Source organism: Homo sapiens, chromosome 11, assembly GCF_000001405.40.
Source record: "Homo sapiens chromosome 11, GRCh38.p14 Primary Assembly".
NCBI classification, from domain to species: domain Eukaryota; kingdom Metazoa; phylum Chordata; class Mammalia; order Primates; family Hominidae; genus Homo; species Homo sapiens.
Genome location: NC_000011.10, coordinates 27,444,510 through 27,458,456, shown reverse-complemented (window position 1 = coordinate 27,458,456; position 13,947 = coordinate 27,444,510). Strand labels below are relative to the sequence as shown.

Here is a 13,947-nt window from a genome sequence, read left to right as displayed (position 1 = left end):
ATGTTCAGTTCTATGAGTTTCACAATGTATACAGTCATGTGACCACCATCACTGTGAAGATATAGAGCATTTCTTCACTTGATGAATTTCCATGCCTCTCTGTAGTTATCTCCTCTCTTCACCTCCAACCTCTGACAACTGCTGAACTATTTTCTACCTTGGTTTCCTCACTTTATGTAGTTTTGCCTTTATTAGGATGCCATATAAATGTAATAAAACAATGTAACCTTTTGCGTCTGGCCTATTTTTCTCACCATACTGCATTTGAGATTCTAACATGTTGCGTATATTAATATGTAATACTCACTTTCTTTTCTTTTTCTTTTTGAGATGGGGACTTGCTTTGTTGCCCAAGCCGGACCACAGTGGCATGATCACAGTTCACTGCAGCCTCTAACTCCTGGGCTCAAGCAGTCCTCCTACCTTAGCCCTCCAAATAGATGGGACTACAGGCATGTGCCACCATGCCTGGCTAATTTTTTTTTTAATTTTTGCAGAGATGGGGTCTTGCTGTGTTTCCCAGGCTAGTCTTGAACTTCTGGCCTCAAATGATCCTCCTGCCCTGGCTCCCAAAGTGCTGGGGTTACAGGTGTGAGCCACTGTGCCTGGCCAGTACTCATTTTCATTGCTAAGGAGTGTTCCATTGTGTACGTATACTATAATTTGTTTCTCCATTCACCAGTCAAGGGACATTTGCCCTATTTCTAGCTTTTTGGCTATTATAAATAAAGCCACCATAAATATTCACACAGAGTTTTTGTATGAACATAGGTATTTATTTCACTTGCATAAATACCTAGAGTGAGATCCTGGGTCATATGGTAAATGTATGTTTATAAGAAAATGTTGGTCTCAATTTTAATGTCTTAGACTGTGGTGAGGTTTGTTATCACCAATTACTTATAGTCACAATATATTGTTAGCATGGTATGTAGTATTAGCAAAAGCTGTTAAAAACTGATTTTGTTTAAATGTCTGCTTTCTTTAAGTTCTTTAAACTCCTCTATGCTGAGAATGTCTGCTTTTAAAAGAGAAGAATTCTTAGCTCCCTTTATGATACCTAGCAGTTGCTGTAATCCCCGCCAGAGACTCCTGTAGAAATTACCCTAATGTGAAGCATTTTGCTTACAGTGAAAAAAGTTTGAATTATTAATGTATTCATATTTGGAATGTCTGATTTTTTTAAAAAATGGATATTTAGTGAAGAATTGCTGGGCCTACCTATACATTATGCATTTTACATGTGCTAACTAGAATTTCCACAGTAACCATCTTGGTCCATGGCAGGATTCCCATTTTATCACTGAGCAAACTGGGATTTAAAAGGATTAGGTAACTTGTTCAAATATCCCACAGTTAGTGGGTGGTAGTTTGTGAAGCTCAGGTGTTCCATATTTAAGTTTGCTCATCCCTGTAGTTTGCTTAGATATTTGACAATTTATCAGAAGAGGAACAGGTGAAATGAGAAACAAAATGGTGAGAAGCTACAGGTTATTACAGGAAAAAAAAATCAGAACAGAAAAAAATGTGTACCCAAAAAGCACACATACATCTATATGTCTGCATACACTGGGAGACTATGACTTGATTTAGAGTCAAAAATCTACACAATAGATTCAAAATCTGTTGTGTAAAATGAAGTTGTCTGTTATTCATAGCAGAACTTTTAAAAAGTATCTCTAACTTGGTCTTTTTGCTTTTTATACATACTTGTTTAAAAGCTTTCACATCATTTCCCATGTTAATAGTGTTTTTTTGTGTGTGTCTGGAAAGTATCAGTCATATGCTTTTTGACTGGCTTTTTCTTTCTTCCGTGGACTTCACTTACATGGTATATGAGGATCAGATCTGTTAGCAGACTCACTTTTCTGTTTCTAAAGGAGCAAATTTCTGAATGTGCTCCTTTAAACCAAAACTTTGCAGTAGATTAAAAAGCAAAATGTGCAGTATGATGGTTTCCATATAGCTGCCCCCTTTCACTCACTGGAATTTCCTGCCTCTCCTGTTGAAGATGTTTTTATAGGGAAGTCAGCATAAAAGTGAATCACCCATGAGCCTTTTTCTCCCCCAAGGCATTTCATTTAGTCAACTTGGTATTAATTTAGTTGGTACTCTTTAGTTGACTCGAACACTGTGTGTTGATGGTGTGAGCTGATGTTTATTAAGCTGTTAATGTTTTACAGACTTGATGGGTTCCCATTTGGATCTGTGTGCTCTTTCCTTTAGCAGCAGGGCTATTATTCATGATTGAATCTGTGGCCACAGTTTTAATTTTGAATGTACTGGTGATAGCCAGCCTCATGCTAAACAGTCATTTGCTTGGTGATTCTAAAGGTTGTCTTCTTCCCCTGGAAGCATTTTGCTTTCTCATTTCACTTATGTTGCATTCTTAGTCATGAAGAGCTCTCTGGTCTGTCCTGCCATTCAGATAATATCATCACCATCCTCTTGTTATTAACTTAGATGCTCATAATAATGTTATTGAATGCCAGGCACTAAATGAAGTGCGTAACACGTGTTATCTATTTAATCCTCCCAATAGGCCTCCAAAGCAATGCTATTATTCTCCCCATTTTAGAGATGGAGAAACCATGGCAAGTGAGGACTTATTACCACTAGTAATGAGAGGTTTTGCAGGTAGGGTGTTGGATCTTGCTTTTATAGACTAGGGTTATTTGGTTGAGTGGGCTGTATAACAGTATCTTTCAGTGCTCTTCCTAAATGTAGGCGTTCATCCATTGTACATGTCTTAGGTATCGGAAACTTCTCATTATGTAGATGGGGAATTAATTCTGGAGAGGTTTTGTTTTGTTCTGTGCTTGAAGTGTTCTCAGCTCCTTAGAATGTAGATTTGGAAAGGATCTTAAAGGTCATCTAATGCAGTGGATCTAAAACTCTTGTTTATTATGGCCCACCCATCAAAAAGGCTATGTCGTTCCATGGGGAAAGCAAAAAGTCAGTTTCTCCCAATGGTGTATATTATATTAACCTGTTTATAGACATGGTAGTTATTATTTGTTAAACTTTTCAGTCACATAAATCATAACACCAAATTCTTGTTGTTGTTTTTTTTTAGACTTTTCCTCCCTTCTTTGTGTACTTCTCTATTAAGAGCTGGCAGTTGATCTGGCTCAAATTCCCCATTTAATGGGGGAGAAATCCAGTTACATTTAGTTGTATGACTTGACCAGAATCATTTATAGTGCTCCAGGGTATGTTAAAAATGAAACACCCCATCTGTACAAAAAATAAATTAGCCTGGCGTGGTGGCACACACTTGTAGTCTCAGCTACTCAGAAGGCTGAGACAGGAGGATCACTTAGAGACCAGGAATTTGAGGCTGCAGGGAACTATGATGGTGCCACTGCACTCCAGCATGGGTGACAAAGTGAGACCTGGAAAAAAGAAAGAAAGACAGACAGAGAAGGCAAGTGGAAGAGCATTATCAGAAGAGATGGTCCTTTCTTTGACTGTGTTAATCTTTAACATTTAATTTAATATTAACATTTAGTAAGACTTTTGACTTGTGTTGCTGTGGCTTGTGTCTGTTGGATGACAAGATAAAATTTCCTGTGCTTCTTCCTTGTCTTCCCAGTTTTCCATGGGCTCAGTACTTTGTTGAAATTGTAGGAGATAATTTGTGGAGGTGAATAAAAATGTTTAATGCAAATAATTTTGCTTTTTTTTTTTTTTTTGAGACAGAGTCTTGCTCTGTCTTCCAGGCTAGAGAGCAGGTGGCATGATCTCGGCTCACTGCAACCACCACCGCCCTGGTTCAAGCAATTCCCCTGCCTCAGCCCCTGATGTAGCTGGGATTACAGGTGCATGCCACCACATCTGGCTAAGTTTTAGTATTTTTAGTAGAGACAGGGTTTCACCATCTTGGCCAGACTGGTCTCGAACTCCTGACCTCAGGCAATCTATCTGCCTTGGCCTCCCAAAGTGCTGGGATTACAGGCATGAGCCACTGTGCCCGGCCAATAATTTTATTTATTCAAACTATTCTTTGAGAGCTACAAATATTTGTATAATGGTTCATGGAATTGTCAACCCAAAAGTATCTGTGACAGATCTCAATCAATTTAGAAAGTTTATTTTGCCAAGGCTAAGGACTTGCCTGTGACACAGCCACAGACAGTCTTGAAGACGTGGTTGGAGTACAGCTTACTTTTATACTTTTTAGGGAGACATAATATATCAATCAATACCTGTGAGATGACATGGGTTTGATCTGGAAAGGAGGGACAAGTTGAAGCCAGGGAGCTTCCAGGTTATAGGTAGATTTAAAAATTTTCGGATTGGCAATTGGCTGAAAGAGTTTAGTTTTTATCTAAAAGCCTGGAATAAATAGAAAGGAATGTCCGAGTTCCAATGATAAGGGATTGTGGAGACCAAAGTTTTATCATGCAGATGAAGCCTCCAGGTAGCAGGCTTCAAAGAGAATAGATTGTATTATAAATGTTTCTTATAAGTCTTCAGGTCTGTGTTGATGCTAATGCTGGTTGGCTCTTACTAAATTCCAAAAGGGTGTAGGATATAATGAGGCATGTCCAACTTCCCCTTCCCATCATGGTCTGAACTAGTTTTTCAGGTTAACTTTGGAATGCCTTTGGCCAAGAGGAGGGTTCCATTCAGAAGGCTGGGGCCCTTAGAATTTTATTTTTGGTTTACAGAATCAGTACTCTTTCAACTTTAAAATAATAATTACTTACTGAGATAATAAGTCAGAACTTTAAAAATTAATTTGTTCAACATTTGTTTATTAAGTGTCTGATGTGTTAGGGACTGTTTTTGGTGCTGGGGACACAGAATTGAACAGTATCTGATGCCATCCTTGCATTCCTATAACTTACCTGGCAGGGGGGTGGGGGATTAGTGGTAGACAGTAAATAAGCACAATGAATATAAAAGGTCAGGTAATGTTACATACCATCAAGGAAAATAAAGCAAGATGAAGGTGGTTTGCTGTTAAAGTAGGGTAGCCAGGGAAGGCTGGAATGAAATTTAGATATTAAGATAATTAGTCAATATCTATAGGAATATGAATCCATCTTAAGCAATGGCAAAACAAAATTTAAAAAGTTCCTCTTGGCCGGGCGTGGTGGCTCACGCCTGTAATCCCAGCACTTTGGGAGGCCGAGGTGGGCACATCATGAGGTTGGGAGTTCGAGACCAGCCTGGCCAACACAGTGAAACCCTGTCTTTACTAAAAGTACAAAAATTAGCTGGGCATGGTGGCAGGCGCCTGTAATCCCAGCTACTCGGGAGGCTGAGGCAGGAGATTTGCTTGAACCTGGGAGGTGGAGGTTGTGGTGAGCTGAGATCGCACCACTGCACTCCAGCCTGGGCGACAGAGCTAGACCCTGTCTCAAAAAAAAAGGTTTCTCCCTACCCCATAGTGACAACTTAATTAAACATAAAAGTCACTGTGCATGTAGGAACATTAAAAAAGAAAATAAAAGATAAAAGAAAAAACATAAAAAGGTTTGAAGTCAATGTGGCAGAATAAATTGGTATGTCAATACAACAGGCTATTACACAGAAGTATACAAACTATTGATACACATGACTATGGATAGTTTTCAACGGTATTAAGGCTGAGTGATTAAAACCAAGTTCAACAGTGAAACACCGTCTCTACTAAAAATACAAAAAAAAAAAAAAAATTAGCCGGACGTGGTGGCGGGCACCTGTAGTCCCAGCTACTCGGGAGGCTGAGGCAGGAGAATGGTGTGAACCCGGGAGGCGGAGCTTGCAGTGAGCCGAGATCGCGCCACTGCACTCCAGCCGGGGCGACAGAGACTCTGTCTCAAAAAAAAAAAAAAAAAAAAAACTCAAAAAGTTGTATACTGTATGATTCCAGGTTTACTATAAATGACAAAATTATAGTGTTGGCGAACAGACCAGTGGTTGCTAGGGTTGGAGATAGGAAAATGATGCGACAGAAAAGTGTCGCAGGAGGGCATTTCTTTGCAGTGGTGGAGCAGTTCCTTACCATGATTGTAGTGGTAGTTACATGAATCCATCTGAGTAGGGTCTGTAGCTTTAGTAAATAGTGTTGCATCAAAGTAAATTTCCCGGTTTAGCTGATATATTATGGTTATGTAAGATGTTGCCATTGGGAAAAGCTGGGTGAAGGGTATGCAGGAACTGTCTGCACTAGTTTTGCAACTTCTAGTGAGTCTTAAACCATTTTTTAAAATAACAACAACAAACATACCAGATCTGTTGAGAGTCCTGAGAAGTCTTAGCCATGGCCTTACCCCTTAAAGAAGATGAGGAAACTGAGTCTCTGAGGTAAGATGACAGCCTGAGGTTGCAGAGCCAGAGTCTCAATCTAGATCTTTTAACTTTCACATCAACATTATTTTGCTCCCTGAGAGCATAACCAGTTTTAATTTGCTATTGAGCAATTGTTGGAAGATTACGTGGGTGTCCATTTTTTCCCCCAGCTTCATGCCCACATTCCCCCCAGCTATGTATGTGTGTATGTGAATTCTCTTTTATGTTCTAAAGCAGAGAAAGTACAATATGCAAATTATGCATTAGGTTTATAATTTAAATGGTTTGAATCATATTTTTGAATGGAATGGACATGGCTCTCCTATTATGAAAGTATTTTATTACTGAGTGCTTGGTACAGTCTTAGTATGAGGAATGACCTTGGATCTCTGCCTGTGAATTAGTAGCTGAATGGTGTTTTACTTCTGATGATTCAGTATATTTGCCTTAATTACTGGATTAACCAATTTCTTGCCTCCCACTAAAAGCACACACATTTATCTAAACAGGGGATGAATGAATGAAGTTTTAGGGACTAATTTTTGTGGTATTTAAGCAACAATAGTCTAGATTACCCACAACCTTAATTTCCTTTCATGAGTCTTGTAGATGGGCTTTGTCACCATTTACACTTGATTACTTCATTGTTAACCCCAGTGATGTGATTTAGCATGCAAAGACTTAATTATTCCTTTCTGGCCTAGTGAGAAATTTCCTTCCAATAATTGCCTCCACTGCCCTTTAGCCTCCTTAAAACATTTAGTTTGTTTGAAACAACTTGGTTGCTCAGTAAGCAATTCCAAGCTCAGCAGTGCCTGGCGCTGTCTTTGGACCATAATTTATACCTTTGATATAGTGACTTAGGCCTCAGTTCTTAAGTGATGTCTGGTGGGTACTCTTCATTAAAATAGTGGTGTGAAGCATTTGTCTGAAGTTATGGTTCCAAACTAAATGGTTCTAAACAGTTCTCTGGTGGTCTCTTTAAATTTAACATTTCCTTATTTTAAGTGAAAAATTGTGCTAACTTTGGAAATAAAAGTTGACTCTTTAAACTTTAGTTTTAAGTATTGAAAAGTACCGTTCATTTAGTTGTGAATACTAAAAACTGTAGTGTTTTTAAGAAGTGTTTTTGTAAGGAGTCCTAGAAATAGTATAGATCCTTACATAACCTAGAAATAGTAATCCTGGAAGTAGTATATAGATCATTACATAACCTGCCACTGGACATTATTTTGTCCCAGGGTATCAGACTTGTTGGAGAAATTGAAAGGTTTATGAAGAGTTGGCAAAGAAATGGTTGTTTTGTTTCTAAATATAGGTGCATTGCATCTAGCATCCCAAAGCAAGGAATGGATGTGAGAGCACAATTTTCTTTCTTTTTTTCTTGAGACGCAGTTTTGCTCTTGTTGCCCAGGCTGGAGTGCAATGGCGCGATCTCAGCTCACCGTAACCTCTGCCTCCCGGGTTCAAGGGATTCTCCTGCCTCAGCCTCCCGAGTAGGTGGGATTACAGGTGTGTGCCACCACCCCCAGCTAATTTTGTATTTTTATTAGAGATGAGGTTTCTCCATGTTGGTCAGGCTGGTCTCAAACTCCCGACCTCAGGTGATCCACCCACCTCGGCTTCTCAAAGTACTGGGATTACAGACGTGAGCCACCGTGCCTGGCCTGAGAGCACAATTTTCTGTGTTGAGTATTTTTTATTATACAGCAACAACATTATGGGAAGTTCCGTTTCATTTCCAAGTGGAAGTTTGTGGAATTGAAAGTGTCTATTTTCTACCAGGAGAAATTGAAGATATTCTGCCGGAAGGAAAGTATTCTGCCAGGAGGAGTTGAAAAGTATTAATTGTACCATGTTTCAAGTAGAGGAATATACCCATGTCTCTACTGACAATTTATAAGGCTTGTTGAATGTTGCTTTTTAAATTTTTTTGGTAGCATAGTTTTAAGCTTTAGTCTTAAGGCCCTATTGCCCATCTTCAAAATTCTGTCCCTTCCGTTGTCCTTAATATTAACAGCTTCATTTTGCTCAGAGGATCTAGAATAACAATAGCATATAGGGAATTGGATATTATACAATAAAAATACTAGTATGCCAGTCTTTTGGAAAGCAGAATATCACATTCATCAGACTTAACGAAAGCGTTTTTCAGGGAGATGTAGCCAAGTTCTGCCTTTCAGTTTCCATGTTGAACAAGGCATTTTTGCCTCAAATCATCAGCTTCTAGGGGAACCAACTTTTAGCTAACCTAGAAATAAGTCAAAGGAACACTCACTGAAGAGATATTGTTAATAAAGCAATTCTAATTGTTAAAATATTGATCAGGAAGCATAGCAGAAACAATTGAAGGTCATCCTGTTATATTTTCTGGAGTGTTTTTAAAGAGTTTAGAATATTCAGCTAATTATAGACATACGTCCTTTGAATTCTGGAAGTGGTATCTCCTACAGAATTTTTCTCAGAAATGATATAATTGTCAACATTTTAAACTTTATTTTTATTTTATTTACTTTTTATTTATTGGTCTTCTTCTTTTTTTTTTCTTTTTTTAATAATAGTAAATAACCAAGCAAGTTTTTGATTTTTTTAAGAGACAGCATCTCACTTTGTCGCCCAGGCTGGTGTGCAATGGCGTGATCATGGGTCACTGCAGGCTCAAGCTCTTAGGCTCAAGTCACCCTCCTGCCTCAGCCTTTTGAGTAGCTAGGACCACAGGCACAGGCCACCATACCTGGCTAATTTTTTATTTTTTGTAGAGACAGTGTCTCGCTGTGTTGCCCAGGCTGGTCTTGAACTCCGGAGCTCAAATGATCATCTTACCTCGGCCTCCTGAAGTGCTGGGATTACAGGCATGAGCCATCTCGCCTGGCTGACATTTGACAAAATGATTGAATAGATTTTTGTTAAACTTTAATTATTATGATACTATACATTCAATATTAAAAAATAAACTCTTAGGCATGTCTTGAGGATTCACTCATTATACTTAAGTAGGTATTTATTATTTTACAGCAGCTGATAAATACTGGACAGTGTTGATGATGGGCAGCATGTTCTCTTGGATGAAGATAATGCAAATAATAGTCTTGACTTCTGATAGTTTTATTATTATAAGTTAGCTAACTTATGATAGTTAGATATTGTCAACTAGGTGAGTTTTACCTCCCATTTGCATACTTCCATAGAAAAATCAGAAAAGATGTAAAAATTTATTATAGTATGTGTTTATTATGTTTTATTTAGTTTTTATTAAGTATCAGTGAGTGAATGAGAAAGGCATTTGTTGGTAGTCTTAATCTAGTGAGAGTAGAAGTGAAAGGCAATACTTCTGTCCTCAGGGGGCTTGCTCCAATGGTTGATTTAAGGAGCTCATTTTTGTTAGTCTCATTACTCTCTTCTAGAAAAATGGAATACAGTAAACCTACCTGATATTTTCAAATGCAAATACATATCTGTAGCTTTAATGTTTTATTCAGACTCATGAAATTAGTGTTTCATGACAAAATAATTTGGATTGTGAACAAATGTACAGCAAAATCATTTTGTTTCCATACATTCTTTTCAGCTAAAGAACAACTGAGGCAGGGCGCGGTGGCTCACGCCTGTAATCCTAGCACTTTGGGAGGCTGAGGCGAGCGGATCACCTGAGGTCGGGAGTTCGAGACCAGCCTGACCAACATGGAGAAACCCCATGTCTACTAAAAATACAAAATTAGCCAGGCATGGAAGCACATGCCTGTAATCCCAGCTACTCAGGAGGCTGAGGCAGGAGAATTGCCTGAAGCCAGGAGGCGGAGCTTGTGGTGAGCTGAGATCACACCATTGCACTCCAGCCTGGGCAACAAGAGCAAAAACTCTGTCTCAAAAAAAAAAAAAGAAAAGAAAAAAAAGAACAACTGAAACTCTGGATGATTTATTCTAATTTAAACATGATTCTAACTTACTGATGATTTTATTAAACTAGGTCTTACTAGATTGCCACATTTAAGCCAGTGATCCTGTATTTAATGGTAAGGTCTTTGAAAAGAGCATTATGGAAACAAAATGATTTTACCACACATTTGTTCATGATCCAAATTCTTTAATTTCATACATAAGTAGTTTTGACTCTTACAGTGCTACAGAGAGCAATAACTGTAATCATAGAACCACAGGATATAGACCTGGAATGCATACATGGTGCTATGTTAACATGGAGCATTAGTGAGAATTATAAGGTTCATTGAAGTATATTAAATATAACATGCATAAACCCTATTACTTTCTATTCCTTTAGTGAAATGCGATACTTTGGTTGTACATATATTTTTAAAAATTTAAAGACTTAACACACTGTTGACAAAATGCACATTAGTCAAACATATTGTGAAAGCATAGTGTCAGCCATGAATACAATAGACATACATTTCTAGATGCTTTGTCATAGGATGAACCCCAAAATTGGGGTTCAGCCTCGGAGACCACAGGAATTCTTGGCTTTGCACAGGAAGGAATTCAATAAGAGTGACAAAGTTAAGTGAAAACAAGTTTATTAAGAATGTAAAGGAATAAATTGGCAGAGCAACCCCAAGGGTTGCTGGTTAGCTATTTTTATGGTTATTTCTTTATCATATGCTAAACAAAGTGTGGATTATTTATGCGTTTTCCAGGAAAGGGGCAGGGAGTTCCCCAGAACTGAGGGTTCTTCCCCCTTTCAGACCATATAGGGTAACTTCTGGACATCGCCATGACATTTGTAAACTGTCATGGCACTGGTGGGAGGTTCCTTTAGTAAGCTAATATATTATAATTAGCATATAATGAGCAGTGAGGATGTCCAGAGGACGCTTACACCACCTTGGTTTTGGCAGGTTTTGGCCAGCTTCTTTATTGCATCCTGTTTTATCAGAGTGGTCTTTACCACCTGTATCTTGTGCAACCACTCCTGCTGACCTCCTATCAGCTTCATGCTCAGAATCGTTTGTAAGCGCTTTTTTTTATTATTATTATTATACTTTAAGTTCTAGGGTACATGTGTACAACATGCAGGTTTGTTACATATGTATACATGTGCCATGTTGGTGTGCTGCACCCGTTAACTTGTCGTTTACATTAGGTATATCTCCTAATGCTATCCCTCCCCCCTCCCCTGACCCCATGACAGGCCCCGGTGTGTGATGTTCCCCACCCTGTGTCCAAGTGTTCTCATTATTCAGTTCCCACCTATGAGTGAGAACATGCGGTGTTTGGTTTTCTGTCCTTGCGATAGTTTGCTCAGAATGATGGTTTCCAGCTTCATCCATGTCCCTACAAAGGACATGAACTCATCATTTTTTATGGCTGCATAGTATTCCATGGTGTATATGTGCCACATTTTCTTAATCCAGTCTATCATTGATGGACATTTGGGTTGGTTCCAAGTCTTTGCTATTGTGAATAGTGCCACAATAAACATACGTGTGCATGTGTCTTTATAGCAACATGATTTATAATCCTTTGGGTATATACCCAGTAATGGGATGGCTGGGTCAAATGGTATTTCTAGTTCTAGATCCTTGAGGAATCACCACATTGTCCTCCACAATGGTTGAACTAGTTTACAGTCCCACCAACAGTGTAAAAGTGTTCCTATTTCTCCACATCCTCTCCAGCACCTGTTGTTTCCTGACTTTTTAATGATCGCCATTCTAACTGGTGTGAGATGGTATCTCATTGTGGTTTTGATTTGCATTTCTCTGATGGCCAGTGATGATGAGAATTTTTTCATGTGTCTTTTGGCTGCATAAATGTCTTCTTTTGAGAAGTGTCTGTTCATATCCTTCGCCCACTTTTTGATGGGGTTGTTGCATGACTAAAACACCAAAAGCAATGGCAGCAAAAGCCAAAGTTGACAAATGGGATCTAATTAAACTAAAGAGCTTCTGCACAGCAAAAGAAACTACCATCAGAGTGAACAGGTAACCTACAGAATGGGAGAAAATTTTTACAATCTACCCATCTGACAAAGGGCTAATAACCAGAATCTGCAAAGAACTTAAACAAATTTACAAGAAAAAATCAAACAACCCCATTTTTAAGCTCTCTATAGGCAGGAATCAACTCTCACTCAGCATCTTTTTAGTTCTTCCCTTGGTTATATTTGTGCCTTGCATGTAACATACTCTTAAATGTTGAATAATTTGAAGGACATAGACAGATTGTCTTTCGATATTCTATTATATTTTACTGGTGACATTTTATTAATTAACTTGCTTAGCCAAAGTTTATACCATGAACATCAAATATGTGGCTACTGCACTTTTTTTTTTTATTTTTTGAGACAGGGTCTCACTCTGTTGCCCAGCCTGTAGTACAGTGGCGCCATCTCAGCTCACTGCAACCTTCACCTGTGGGCTCAAGTGATCTACTGGCCTCTGCCTTCAGAGTAGCTGGGACTGCAGGCATGCACCACCAGGCTTGAAAAATTTTTAAATTTTTCTGTGGAGACGAGGTCTTACTGTCTTGCCTAGCTGGTCTCAAACTCTTTACCTTATACCATCCTTCTACTCGGCCTCCCAAAATGCTTGGATTACAGGTGTGAGCCACTGAAACCAGCCTCTATTGTACTTCTAAGTGTGCTGCTGTATTCGTTGGGGGAGGAGGGACAATATGAACTGTGCTTCCTGTTTTAACATTTATGAAGCCCTTCATGTGTACCAGATATCATGCTAAGAGCTTTATATGTGTGAGTTTACTTGATCGTCATAACAGCTGTATAAGAGGTATTCTTTATCTCCATTTTAAGCTCAGAAAACTGAAGTACAAAATGTTTAAATAAGCGTTAGTCAAATATATTGAAAATATATATCCAGGGTCATGATTTATAATCTGTAACCAGAATTTGAACCCACATAGTCTGACTCCAGAGTTCGTGCCCTCCAGTCTCTCACACTGGCCCGCACGTGTCCATAGGTGATAGGGTTTGGTGGAAAAGACAGACATGCACGAATCAAATACAGTATGAGAGTACCCTAAAGGAGGGATGAACAAAGGGCTGTGGGAGCAAAGAGGAGGGGAATTTACTCTGCCTTGGGGATTGGAAGGCTTCACAGCAGAGGTGACATTTGAGCTGGGTCATTTAGTCTTCTGTAGGGCAGCTGCCCGAGTTCTGCCTTGTTTGAAATAAGCACATTTACAAGAGAATAGTGGAGCACATTCCACTTGATGGATTGGATTGACAGATTGAAAGTAACTCCCCAGAATGATGGCTTTGTTAGGTATTTGTTCTCTGAGAACCCTACCTGCCACTCCCCTTTGGTGAATTGTGGCAAGAAAGCTGTCACATTAAGCTGTCACTCAGGATACTTGTGAGAGGGGGAGGGAAGAACAAATTATGGGCAGAACTAGGTATTTTCAGAACAGTCTAAAACCCGGAAAGATTATATTTCAGAGCATTTAAAAGTGAACACAACAGCCTTTATTTAAGTTGTGCAAAAAGAAAATTGAATAATGAAAACTTAATTAGGCTATGGATATTTTTAAAGCTGGACATTCTGATTCTTATCCACCCTAATTATATGAAGCTTTTTAAAGGCCAAGATAGAAAAAGAAATCAATTATAGACCTACACAAAGTTCTTATAGAGATTGTTTAATTGTAAAAATATCTTTCTTGTGTGTGATTTTTAAGGAGTGTTTCAGAAGT

General features: G+C 38.7%; 1 protein-coding gene across 2 annotated transcripts in view, besides 1 other annotated feature; it reads left to right on the top strand.

Annotated features, from left to right (window-relative positions):
• Positions 1 to 13,947, top strand: part of LGR4 (leucine rich repeat containing G protein-coupled receptor 4) — a 106,830-nt gene that overhangs the window by 14,334 nt on the left and 78,549 nt on the right. The window lies entirely within an intron of this gene.
• Positions 10,821 to 11,115: an enhancer, noted in NCBI's record as "tiled region #4633; K562 Activating DNase matched - State 5:Enh". NCBI's record gives its function as "activates a minimal TATA promoter and a strong SV40 promoter by Sharpr-MPRA in K562 cells {active_cell/tissue: K562}" and the evidence as "EXISTENCE:reporter gene assay evidence [ECO:0000049][PMID:27701403]".